The following is a 13,184-nucleotide window of genomic DNA, read 5'->3' on the forward strand; positions in this document are numbered from 1 at the left end:
CCCAGTACCCTGAGGGACCACAGCCTGACAGCCACAACCTGCTGTCCCCACGGCACTGAGGTGGAGGAGCGCCACCTACTGTGTGGCCAGCCTGGCTTACAGCAGCTCTGAGTTCCCGGACAGTCGCTGGCACCTAGCTGAGGAAGCCTACCCCCTCCAAAGTAACACTGGGAAGAGGAGAGGAGAAAAGGCTCCATTCTATAGGGTGGCACGTTCAACCCAAAGCACCCAGGCCTCGCCCTTGCACTTCCAAGGCACTGTATAACTTGCCAAGAGAAGAAGCCCTGCAGGGCTCCGCTGACAACCCTGGGGCCCCAGACCAGACAGTCCCCGAACAGAGCTTGGCACCTTGTACTATGAATTCTCAACCCTGAGAAACTGAATAGGCAAACACATGTGCTGGGATGCTTTTTACAGTTCATTGAAACGTCTTCTAAAACCCGAACAGCCTCTTTAAAAATCCTATTATTAATCACATCAGAAGAGCTCTGATATCGGCCATTCAAAAGAATCTATGAACTATTTATATCCAAGAAAGTCTGTTCCCTTACCGAGGGCAACTGAAGTTTGTACTAAGTCATTTAGTAATTTGTGAACATAAGCTAAAAACCAAGTATCATGAAAATCCTGTTTCATTTAGGTTTTTCGCCATGAAAATGTATTCTGCGATAACACATAAAACCACCTTCTGGTGCCATCTCTTGGCTCAGAAATGAGCTTTTACTCAGATCTGTCTCCTATGTGTATATCCAACCATCCAATATGTAACAGGCAACTTCAATATTCCATGCTCTAAAATAAAAACAGTGAATAAAGATACACTCTCTGCTTTCAAAGAGAAGACGCTCCAGTGGAGAAAAATGCAAATGTTTCCAACTGCCTGCTGGTCCTCACATCCACCCTGGCATCCCAATGGCACGTCAAATTCACAATGTCCAAATGACTCAAACCTCTCAACCCTCTCAGCCCTCCCTCTGCCTTGCCTACGCTGATGTAGCACCATCTACAAACACCTACCTCTTGCCCCACAAGGTGATCAATTGCCCCTGCCCATCGACTTCACCTCCTTACCATTCTCTCTCACATAACCAACAATGGCAATGACCATCCACCACAGGCCCGGCACTCATGATCACAATGTGAGGTAGACACTGCTGCCCCCACTTCACAGACAAGGAAATCGAAGTTCAGAGCTATTCAATCACCTCTTCGAGGCCGCACAATTCACCAGCAGCAAAGCTTGGCCTGGGACCCAGTTGCACCTGGCCCAAAGTCTGAGGTCTCCTCCACTGCCTCCTCCCTTCTTCATCCCCAGCATCAGGCCCAGATCTGGGCCTCCACCACCTTCAGCCTGACTATGGCGAGGTCTTTCTACCTGGTCTCCCTGCCTCTGGTACTTCCCTCCTCCAACCCCTCTCACGTGTGGCTGACCAGGTGTACTCATGTCATTCTCTTTCAAAAAAGTATTCAGGGCCTTCAATACATACAAAATCTGGAGTGGTCCTCACCTGTCACTGAATCCTGGCTATGTTGCAGGACCCAGCCAAAGACTTTTTCCACAAAGTCTTCTCCCGAAACCTTAGCTCTCACACTCTCTCCCTCTCTCCCCTCTGCCCCGCGTCTGTACCTGGTTTCTCTCTGTGCTCTCGTAACACCTCAGGCCAAGGTAATTCCGTGTGGTGGAGGCCTGTCTCGTGCACTGCGGGATGTTCAGCAGCATCCCTGGCTCCTGCCCACCCCCAATCATGACCATCAAAAATGTCCCCAGACAACTACCAAGTATCCCCTGGAGGGCAAAATCACCCTGGGTTGAGAGCCACTGTCTCAGACAGTACTTCGGCCACTGCCTCGGACCGCACCTTGTGGCTCAGGGAATGAGTATAGACTTCTCTGAAGGGGCTGCCTGCATTTTAAAAAGCCACCACCAGAACTCACCATTGCGAGTCAATTTGGGGGTGGTTCGGGAATTCACCAGGCTCTCCATTTCCAGGTGAATATCTTTTGTTTCGCCAGTATCATATAAATGGCGCACCTGGCAGAAATTTACAAAGTCAAACAGAAAGAAAATCAAATATCAAGTAACAAATTCCTACCTAAGAGCAGAATGGCTGAAAGGAAAGTCTGGGATAGAAGGCTGGGTAAAGTTCAGACAGAAGTTAGGATGATGACCTTTAAATCTTTTATGAAATAAGGTGGGGTTTGAGAAAAACAAACACATTTTAACTGTGGGACTTTGTGCTAGAAATCAGCTACACAGGGCCGGGTGCGGTGGCTCACACCTATAATCCCTATAGTTGGGGAGGCCGAGGCCAGCAGATGGCTTAAGGCTAGGAGTTTGAGACCAGTCTGGGAAACACAGGGAGGCCTCGTCTCTACAAAAAATTTAAAAATTAGCTGTAGTCCCAGCTACTTGGGAGGCTGAAGTGGGAGGATCCCTTGAGACCAGGAAGTCAAAGCTTCAGTGAGCTGAGATAGTGCCACCACACCCCAGAGAGCCTGGGCAACAAAGCAAGACTCTGTCTCAAAAAAAAAAAAAAAGAAAAAAGAAAAGAGAGAAAAAATTAGTTACTCGGTCATGGAGGTCCCTCTAAGAGTCTCGGTTGGACTACTAATAATGCTGCCTCTTAACAGAAGGCCTAAAGGTATAAACTTCAAGTAGAAGGTGAACAGAAAATTACACTAGGGGCCAGGCACGGTGGGCAGATCACAAGGTCAGGAGTTCAAGACCAGCCTGACCAACACAGTGAAACCCCATCTCTACTAAAAATACAAAAATTAGCCAGGCGTGGAGGTGGGTGCCTGTAATCCCAGCTACTCGGGAGGCTGAGGCAGGAGAATCACTTGAACCCAGGAAGTGGAGGCTGCAGTGAGCCAAGATCGTGCCACCACACTCCAGCCTGGGTGACAGAGCGAGATTCCATCTCAAAAAAAAAAAAAAAAAAATTACACTAGAACAAATTCTTTCAAGTGAACAATCTCTTTTGTCCTCACAATAATCCTGTGAGTAGTCAGGGATTATTATTCCCATTTTTCAGGTAAAGAAATTGAGGTTCAGACAATGTAAGTCACACGTGACCGGCAGCAACAACACAGGTGGAAGTTACCTCTCCTCACTAAGGGGCAAGTGCTCTTCCGTAAAGTAAGAATTTGAATTAGAAGACGTGGCATAAAGGCCTGGATTCCTATCATGTTTGATTTTCTCTAAGTCATTTAACAACTCTATGCCTTAGCTCTCAATCTGTTGATGGAAAATGCTATCTACTTCTACCAATTCAGAGAGACATCTACCTGGATGACTAAAAAAGTATCCTTGTATGTGTGGTATTAATAGGTGCACGCATCTCAACAGATCAGAATTCTCATTGGTCCTGCAGATGGGCCCAGATGTAAATACTGACAAGAAGGTCTTACCTGGCTTGGCCGGAGGAAGTTGACGTTGATATTGGGATACCGAGTGACAGGGTCGATACTGTACTGGCTGAAGTTCTTACTCACATTCTCAGGGGTGGTCTGAGGCAGCAACCTGTAAATACTTTCCCTGCAATAACACAACAATATACTCAGAATCGGGACCAGCACCATGAACATCTCCCTCTCGTTTCATGATTGTTCTGACAGCGCAGCAAGTCACCTGACATGCCTGACAAATCCTCATCCTTGACCAGTCTTCTTGAGTCCTACGTCAGCCCCTGCTCCCCACACCCACCTGCAGTGATCCCACAGGAACCGACCGGGTAAGAGCCGAGGAGAGAGAGCAGGCACAAAACCGTGAGCGCCCACAGATGCTGCCTCCAACTCAAAAGGTCACACATTTACTCTTTTATTTTTTCAAGCATCCCAATATTTACTTCAATTTTAAAGAAAATCAACACAAAAAAGAATTATCACTATATTTAGTCAGAATACCTTAAATAAGAGACAAAATAAGATGATATCAACTCCCAATTTCATCTGGGAAATCTTGTCTCTCTAATTCTTCTGGTTAAGGCATTAGTTCTTTATCAGAAAGCAAATCACAGGATTTTTATTGCATTTGCAAAAATCTGCTTCAAAATATCCCATTTAGGGGTTTGAGAAACACTTATAAGCAGTTTGGTGTTTTCCTATGAATTCAAAGCTACTTTTAATTTCTTCTCTGTCAGTAAGAAATTTATCTTGGAAAGGAGTAAGAGAAGACTTAGTCTAGGAGACTCATCTTTAGGTTTCTATGATTTTATGAAATCCTATCTTGCCTTTCCTCTTTTCCACATGAAAACATCTTTAATTAAGAAGGCAGAGAAAGAAGAAGGAAGAACTTGCACTCTGCCTGAAGAGTAAACCACTCCTTCTTCCCAGTTTTCTCATGAAAGGAACCCCGGGTTACTTCCCATTACCTCTCTGCCAGCACTTCCAAAGGGCTCGTTCCTAGAGACCAACTTCGGACCATCCAGGCAGAGTCCATAGCAGCTAGAAAGCCCCGGGCTATTCCTGTTCCCATTGGCCAGAAAGGCTGTAGATAAGACATAAAACAAATAATTAAAATATAACACACCTTTCAAAATGGGAAAAATAAACTAAGGAACAAAGAGTTTGCTGTCGACAGTAGTGTTTGGCAACTGTTTCAATAACAAATTGCTCTCCTTCCCAGATTGGCAAGGAGTAAGTCAAAAAGGGGCAGAATTTCCACTCATACTTAATAGGCCTGGGCTCCCAGTGGCCTGTAGCCCTCCTCTACTTCCTGGTGTGACTCCTGCAGGGAGTTTACCTGTGCTGTACAACACTGCAGACGCTCATTCCAAGACCCAGGATGCCCAGATTCACTCCTAATTATTCCTGCCCCTACCACAGAGTGCTGCCATGCTTAGCACTCACCTCTAGGAGGCTGTCCCCGACCAGAGCCACTAGTAACTGGTGTCCGTTCTGCTCCCGCACCAAGGCGGCGTTCTCGGAGGCATACATACAAGTGAAGTCAAACATGGCCACATCGGGCTGCCCATAGTGATTGATGGCAAAATCCAGAGACGGCAGCTGCTGCTGGGTAGAGAAGTCTGCCGCCTCCCTGGCATAGCTGAGCAGAGCCTCCTGGTCCACGTTTTCTCGGGAAAGCAGGAGCTCTGTGTCGGCGTAGTCCTGTCTCCAGAGAAAGAGGAGGGTAGGGATGGAGAAGCTCTGGCACTCAGCCAGAACCATGTTACACAACCCAGGGCCACAGCTTCTTCTTCCCCCTAAAGTGACTCCACGTTCCAAAACCAAAACTTTTATACCATTAAAATGGGCGGGGGGAAAGGCAGCCAGGCACAATGGCCCACACCTGTAATCCCAGCACTTTGGGAGGCTGAGGCGGGCAGATCACTTGAGGACGTGACTTCGAGACCAGCCTGGTCAACATGATGAAACCCCATCTGTACTAAAAATACAAAAATCAGCCAGGCATGGTGGTGTGTGCCGGTAACCCCAGCTACTTGGGAAGCTGAGGCAGGAGAACTGCTTGAGCCCAGGAAGCGGAGGTTGCAGTGAGCTGAGACAGCACCACTGCACTCCAGCCTAGGTGACAGAGTGAGACTCCAACTCAAAAAAAAAAAAAAAAAAAAAAAGAGGGGTTTGGGGGGTGGATTATTCCCGAGAGAACATAGACCTTGCTGCCTAAACACACAGTCATGGCTTTTCCATTTGCTTGGAACAATGACTACTTCTTTGATCTTATCCAATCTGCCTCAGGGTTGTTCTGAGTATCACATACCTGACAGTACTTTGTGAACTGAAAGGGCATTTCATTATCTTCTGGGTAGTAAATGGCTTTTGTCAAATGGGACCACGTGAAACACTCAGCCTTGCATAACTCATGACACCCAAAGGAAGAACTCAAAAAAGCTTGAGTGCCAAAAAGACATGGAGGTGGGAGCAATGGTAGTCCAGGAGGCTGGGAAGGAATATGTTGAAAATGGAGCAGAGGTTTTCAAAATAGTAAGTAAGACTTGAAAGCCTCCACAGAAACCCACAAAGAAGAACAAAGGACTGAAAAACTCCTTTTCTGTTTTGGAGGTTCCTGGCACACTGAGCCAAGTCTTTATTCTCTGAAAGTGGGGCCTACGGTTTCTAAGTGGCCATGATGGTCCTTTCAGCCACCACTACAAGATGTTAAAGCCAAAACACAAACACTCAGGTTGGTCCTAGAAAGACTGTTTGCTCAATACTAAGTAGCCACATGGGTTTACTATTTAACAGCATACACCAAAGGCATGGCCCCTGCCCTCTTAAAAAAAAAAAAACATGAAGGCAAAGTAAACCAGGTCTCTTGGCATTCTAGACTGCTCCTATCAAATTGTGACTGACAACCACAGTTCTGCCTGCGTGGCAGATTTAAATCTTCACCTTGTCCCAAGGCGTACGAACTGCTTCACTGGCTATTTCTTACTGACAGCAATGTAACCCTGATGTAGTCCCAGATAATTAGCAAGGCAATTTTAGAAAGCATCTAACCAGATACGTCTTGCTTATGCTTTTGGGAAAGTGGGCTGTATAAACAGCTTTGTCCTGGTTCTCCCTGAAAGCACACAGGGTGGCTGTGCTGAGAAACACACGCAAGGTTCCTGGGTAGAAAGAGGGGGCTCTCTGCCACCGGCACATGCTCGTCAGCTCACTCCCCGCTCTGCTGTCATATAAGGTAGTACTGTAGCTCAGACTAAAGTGACTGCATTCACATCACCCTGCAAAGACAAAGGACTCCCTGAAATTCAGCTGTGAGTCTCTTGTGGGAACTGCACAGGCCTGAATCAGCACAACTGGTGTCTCTGCTTCTGTTTTTCTCATCGCATGGGGACAGTGATTCTCACGTTGAGACCAGTGAGACCAGGAAAGACTTAAAAAACTCTCCTTCAGGGACCATCCACGCGGTGGTCTTCTGACTTCATATTTCAGGCCATCATCTCAGGGCACACCATGCAGTCACCTAGAAACAGGCTGAGCTGGACCTGGCTATGATGGAGCTCAGACCTGTTCTGTGGTCATAAAGAGGCCTAAGTGTAGCCTGATCCTGTCAGTGCTGCCTGGACCTCTGAAAACTGTATCGGCAGTGACACCAGAATCCTCATCAGGCTCCCATAAACACCAATTATTGCTTCTTGGTCAAACTCCTTTCCCTCTGTTGCTCCCCCTCCCAAAAGATAACTCTTCAACCAACCAATCATCAGTCAGATATGGAAATCACAATAACCACAAACCAAATCACCTAAAATTAAACTGAGTATTTATGCATGAAATGCTGTCTGAAACCTGCTTTGCAAGAATCCAGTGGTGAAGAAGGAGTGCACAGAAATATTACTGACAGAACACTGGCCACGTGTTGAGAACTGTGAAAGCTGGACGGTAGGTACGTGAGGGTTCATTACACTATTCTCCCCCCGTTTTTATTTACATTTGAAATTAGCCATAGTTAAGAGTTGTTCACGCTAAACTGGAAAACATCAGGGGTTACCAGAAGATGCATTCAGTGCTCATTTTCATTCCCTTGCAGGAAAAACCCATCAGACAATTCTTTCTCTTGGTGATATTAACCACTTCAATAAGAAAGAGTTTTGAAGGAAATCCGTGGCTCACATGTAGTATCACTCCTTTGTCCAGCAAACTCTGCTTTTTGGCTGTCATAACGAAATAGTGTGTGTCATCTTTGTAGTAAACGATGTTCTCCAAGTCAATACCTGGGGCCAGAAGACAAACGTGTGCATGTAAGTTTGCTGAGATGAAGGTGCATCAGGGCAGGCTGAAAGGTTACACACAGGCCTACAGAGACAAGGGCCTGAGGCTCCAGGCAGGGAAAGGTGTCTAAGCCCAGATTCTCACGTCCTGTATCATCAGTTCATGGAAATACAGGGAGTTTTGTTTCTCTGTATTCACTCAACACCCCAAACAATCCTAAAAACTATGACTGACAGTAAACAGAACTGTTTTTACGGGAATAAAAACGAAACAAGCAAAAAAAAAAGAGGCTAACCTCTAAAGAGGGCTTGGATTAGTTATCGGGTTAAGCCTCTTGGGACAGTCATCAAGGAAGCTGGAGGAATCTCCTAGATTCTTAAGAACAGGATAGACAACTTGACGCCTGGAAGCAGAGAGTGAACTACTGACTTTTTAATTAATCTAAAAAATAGATGTAATGAAAAGAAATCAAGTTCTAGAAAACAAGAGAATGAAGGCACATTTAGCAAAATATCTAAGTTGATCTATTCAAAACCTATCATACAACAATCTCATCGCTATCTGACACACGGTTTGCCTTCAAGCCTGAGCTGGAACTCAGGAAGAAGACTACATACTTAAAAGGCCTAAAGTCAGCTTCCCAAGCAAACCAGGGAGCCACCGGCCAGCAGCTACACCAAGCAGCATGCCTCAGCATCACAGCACAGGGCAGGCATTGGGAAGAACTAGTGGAGGCAGAACGAATGCTTTACAACAAATAAACGAACAAACAAAACCTCAGGCTGGGTGTGGTGGCTCACGCTTGTAATCCTAGCACTTTGGGAGGCTGAGGCAGGTGGAGCCCAGGAGTTTGGGAGCAGCCCGGGCAACATGGCGAAACTCCGTCTCTACAAGTAATACGAAAAATTAGCCAGGCATGGTGGAGCTTGCCTGTAGTCCCAGCTACTCAGGAGGCTGAGATGGGAGGATCACTTGAGCCCAGGAGTTCGAGGCTGCAGTGAGCCGAGATCACGCCACTGAACTCCAGCCTGGGCAACAGAGCGAGACCTTGTCTCAAACAAAAAACAAAACCCAGAGCCGCCCAGTCACTGTGAGGAGGTTAAGAATACAAGAGGAGGAGACAAGTTCTGCAGGAAGCAATGCGCTAGGAAGAAGGAACAGGAGTGAAAAGAGCAGGAGGGGCAGACAGTGCAGGAGGGACACCGACGGCCACTCACCCCACCAATCCCCCAAGAAAAAGCCACCAGGGACTATTTAAGTTTCTATCCTAGGGCTCCGGAGACATCAACACCAACCTGTGGCTTCCCTCAGTTCCTGGAAAAATTTTTGGTTGAATATAAAAGCCACACCACTGATCTCTTCCACTTTAGCTTCTGCTGTTGTATTTCGGTTGATAAAATTTGCCGTGATGGCGATGGCCAGTTTGCCACGGAATTCTTTCCGACGAAACCCTGGAGGGAAATAAATTTTCAGAGGTGATAATCATTGGCTAGAGAAGGAAGATCACTTCAGATAAAGTGGGGGTGCTGATAAAGACAACAGGGAAAGTCAGGGATGAGAACTGATGGGAAAGTTAGGGCAGCTCTTCTGCAGATGAAAATAAGGCATTTACCTACCCAAGAATATGAAAATTCAGGGAAGAAGTCAAAGTCTCCATTAACAAACAATTTGAAATCTGACTGGCCAGAATATTACTCAGTACTAGGGATTCCTCTTTAAAAAAGGGATGCGTGGGGGGAGCACCTGCTTATTAATATGTAGATTAAGTCCTACAGGTGCCAGCCACTCAAGGTATGGTTGGTCTCCTAGTGCCTCAGCAAGAGTGCCCTGTAAGCAGCAGCCTGGGCCAGGTGAGGTGGTTCACGCCTGTAATCCCAACACCTTGGGAAAGGCGAGCAGAGTGCTTGAGCCAAGGAGTTTGAGACCAGCCCATGCAACATGGCGAAAACCCAATCTCTACAAAAAATACAAAAATTAGCTGGGTATGGTGGCACGCGCCTGTAGTCCCAGCTACTCAGGAGGCTGAGATGGGAGACTCGCTTGAGACCAGGGAGATCGAGGCTGCAGTGAGCGTGATCATGATACTGCACTCCAGCCTGGGCAAAAGAACGAGACCCTGTCTCAAAAATAAAATAATTAAATAAAATAAAAGCAGCAGCCTGACTGCCAGCTGGCTAGAGGATGGTGGGGCCTGCCATTCCATCAGGGCAGGAAGCACACATTCAGGCTCTCAAAAGGGTGGACGCTGGTCACGCACAGTCTCGCCCCAGAGGTAGGATAGCATCAGCTTTCCCTCTGCTATGAGCCAGGCAGAGGAGCACAGACCAATACCTTCCAAGGTGTTCCTCCGACCATCCCCACCGATGATCACTTCAAATTCATACTCTGACACAGGATGAGTCTTGGGGTGCACCAGTGCCCGCCAGCCTATCCCTGTGAACCAAAACCAAATAAATGGGGGTCACCACCCAGACCACATTCACAGCCAGGACCATCTCTAGATACCCAGTCATGTGAACTGCACAAAACCCTGGGCCAAAAACACTATGTGTAGAAGCAGTGGAGACAGAGGCTGTGCACGGTGGCTCGTGCCTCTAATCCCAGCACTATGCGAGGCAGAGGCTGGCAGACTACTTGAGGCCAGGAGTTCGAGACCACCCTGGCCAGCATGGTGAAACCCTGTCTCTACTAAAATACAAAAATTAGCCAGGCATGGTGACACATGCCTGTAATCCCAGCTACTCTGGAGACCTACGCAGGAGAATTGCTCAGAGGTCACAGTGAGCCAAGATTGAGCTACCGCACTCCAGGCTAGGCGACAGAGTGAGACTCTCATCTAACAAAGAAAAAGCAGTGGGGACAAACCACAGAAGGAAAGAAGCCTTGCAGAGGGCTCACGGGGCCCTTCCCACCACATGTGCGCCTGCGACATCTAAGGCTGCATCCAGGCCAAGTCCCCAAAGGCACAGGCTTTGGCTAGCTCTGGAAGCAGCCCTCAGGAGCCTTTGGTTTGCTCCCTCAATCTCATCTTCCTCACCCATCAACACCCTCTCACGCCTTCTTCACTCCTCCAGTATAACTTACGTTCATTCTCTTGGTCCTCAGGAGGCTGTATAAGTCCTTGGAATTCCACATTGACGTGGATTTCAATGCCTAGGATCAAGGCTACTTTCAAAAGTATTAGTTGGAGCTGACGGATACCTGGGAGAATACAGAGATGACGTTGATGGGAACACATGGAGAAGGGGGTACCCATCCGTGTCGCAGCTCAGGCTCCCACCCCGCCACCTACGCCCCCTTCATTCAGATTCCCAAAGCCTGCTGTAGCAGGAGACCTTCCAAAGCCACGCTCTGTAACTTCTTCCTTTCTTAAAGGCAAATATAACCCAGTGGAAGAGCTGTTCTAGAGCAACACACAGGACACTCCCACGTCTCGGGTTCAGTGTTTTAAACAATCAAAAGCTCGGAGACAACATGGGACTGTGGCCTACAGGAGGTTCCTTTCCATCTTCCCAATTTGGGGCTGCCATATTGGCAGCATCTCCAATCCTGCTAGGAGGCAGATGTGCACCCACAGGGTGCAGCCCACGGTCAGATGCAGAGCTGCTGCATGACCTCCCCGCCCACAGGCGTCTTTCAGCCCATTCCCTGGTTGATCATCACACATTCTTATAAGGCAAGGAAGGGAAATCGCAATCCAACTAGATCCTCCTACCATTCCCCCTCCCATTCCTGGTCTATAGCTGTGGAAACTGAGGCCAGAATGACTGACAATCTTGCTTATTTTCATAGTGAGACTGATTGATTTATTCGACGTCCATGAGCACCTGCAGGCACCAGGCATGGCAGCGACTTAAGGTGCAGAGATAAAGATCTAGGCCCTGGTAGAAGACCCTCTCAACCCTAAGATGAATCTTGCCACAATTAAGGCAGACAAATCCACTGCGTTAATGACCCTTGGTTCTCTCTTAAGACCAAACTTAACTGGAGCCTGTGACTAATGTGCCAGGAGCAATGCAAATCCTCCTCACGTCATCTTGGTTGTTCTCCCCAGTTTACCACAGCCACCACCCTTCTGAGTCCCATTCCCAAATACTTGTTAAGCTCTGCGCTAGCACAGTATTTTCGCAGAGAACTGTGGGTCCCAAGATGCTTTACAAACTATAGCCAGCAGATGGGCAGAGGGCTTCCTCTGCCAGTGGAATGTGGTCACTGCCAGCCAGCGTCTGATAAATTGGCACAGCTGCTGCAAACAGCAAAAGGTTCCATGACTGACTGTGTTTACAGGACACATCTGGAGAAGCTCAGAACAAAGGCTCCTTGATAAAGCTTTCCTGAAAGCATTAATGATAATCAATAAAAAGCTTTCAGTTTCATAACGCACACTGTCTGTTCTGAATTGCTTTGCTGGCCACTTACAGTCAAACACCGCTGATTGCATTAACTTGTATTCATACCCTGTAGGATCTCAGAAAAGCAAAGGCCCGGGCTGAGCTTAGAGGTGACAAAAGAACAGCAAGAGCTTGCAGACCGCACAAGAACCACCTGACCAGAGGAATGCCATTATCCCCTTGCCATTAACGGCCAGGCCAGGGCTCTGCGCCTCCTGCAAGTGTGGCTCCCCCCAGGACTGTGTCCCCACAGCACTTTGTTCTTACATTAGTAGAGAATGTATCAGCTCACAGCACAGACAGCTGCATGCTTGTGTACTTCTGCCACTGCAAGAAGGACCACCAGAGGGTCTGGGCCCAAACTGGTCATCGTTTCCCCAGTGCCTGCCCCAGTGCCCATCCCACAAACTGCAAGAGCTCAGGAAGAGTCCACGACCTAACAGAAATCCTCAAGCCAAACCCCACATTTCACAGGTTATCGATACACTCACATTTAAGAGTCCTAAATTATAGAACCACCACATAGCAGGTGTTTTTACTTCAAGATGAGTGCACTTACTATAAGAAAGACAGTAATGAGATTAGAAGAAATTGGGTGGCATATGAATTCCTCAGCTAATCTGCCTGTCTCTTTCTACTGAACAAGCGTGCAAGGGGTAGGGTGGAATCTTACAGGAAAGCTAGTTTTACTTACTGATATGGTCGATGGCTCCAGCACAGAACTTGCCATAGAACTTCTTGGCACCCAGACCTCGTAGATCATGTATGGTGAATGGCCAGAGATGCAAGACGTTGTTGCGGGAGAAGGCATCTCGTTTCTCAATAACAACCACCTTGGCCCCCAGTAAGGATAAGTCGATGGCTGTACGGAGACCACAGGGGCCAGCCCCAATGATGAGACACTGAAAAACACAGCTGCTTTCAGGGCAGGCGGCACTTCCAACAAACAATTCTCAAGAAGTCTCATGATTGTAAGATCATCACTCCCTAAAGCCCCGAAATAGGGCTATTCTCCCCACTGCCAAGAAACCTTCACACCTACGTGGGTCACAGCAGAGCACCTGCCATGGCTTAAGAGAAGAGCTAGTGATCACCACCATGAATGGAGAAGACAGAACC

At 47.5% G+C, this 13,184-nt stretch overlaps 1 protein-coding gene across 3 annotated transcripts in view; it reads right to left on the reverse strand.

The window, feature by feature from the left end:
* Positions 1–13,184, reverse strand: part of MICAL3 (microtubule associated monooxygenase, calponin and LIM domain containing 3) — a 236,913-nt gene that overhangs the window by 104,224 nt on the left and 119,505 nt on the right. For all 3 annotated transcript variants that reach the window (NM_015241.3, NM_001122731.2, NM_001136004.3), the window contains 9 exons: positions 12,760–12,967; positions 10,759–10,875; positions 10,006–10,107; positions 8,970–9,125; positions 7,576–7,676; positions 4,852–5,109; positions 4,374–4,489; positions 3,412–3,538; positions 1,936–2,032 (listed from right to left, as the gene is read on the reverse strand). In NM_015241.3, coding sequence (NP_056056.2) covers positions 1,936–2,032; positions 3,412–3,538; positions 4,374–4,489; positions 4,852–5,109; positions 7,576–7,676; positions 8,970–9,125; positions 10,006–10,107; positions 10,759–10,875; positions 12,760–12,967 — 1,282 coding nt within the window. The remainder of the gene's footprint in view (positions 1–1,935; positions 2,033–3,411; positions 3,539–4,373; positions 4,490–4,851; positions 5,110–7,575; positions 7,677–8,969; positions 9,126–10,005; positions 10,108–10,758; positions 10,876–12,759; positions 12,968–13,184) is intronic.

This window comes from Homo sapiens, chromosome 22 (assembly GCF_000001405.40).
Source record: "Homo sapiens chromosome 22, GRCh38.p14 Primary Assembly".
Taxonomy (NCBI): Eukaryota; Metazoa; Chordata; class Mammalia; order Primates; family Hominidae; genus Homo; species Homo sapiens.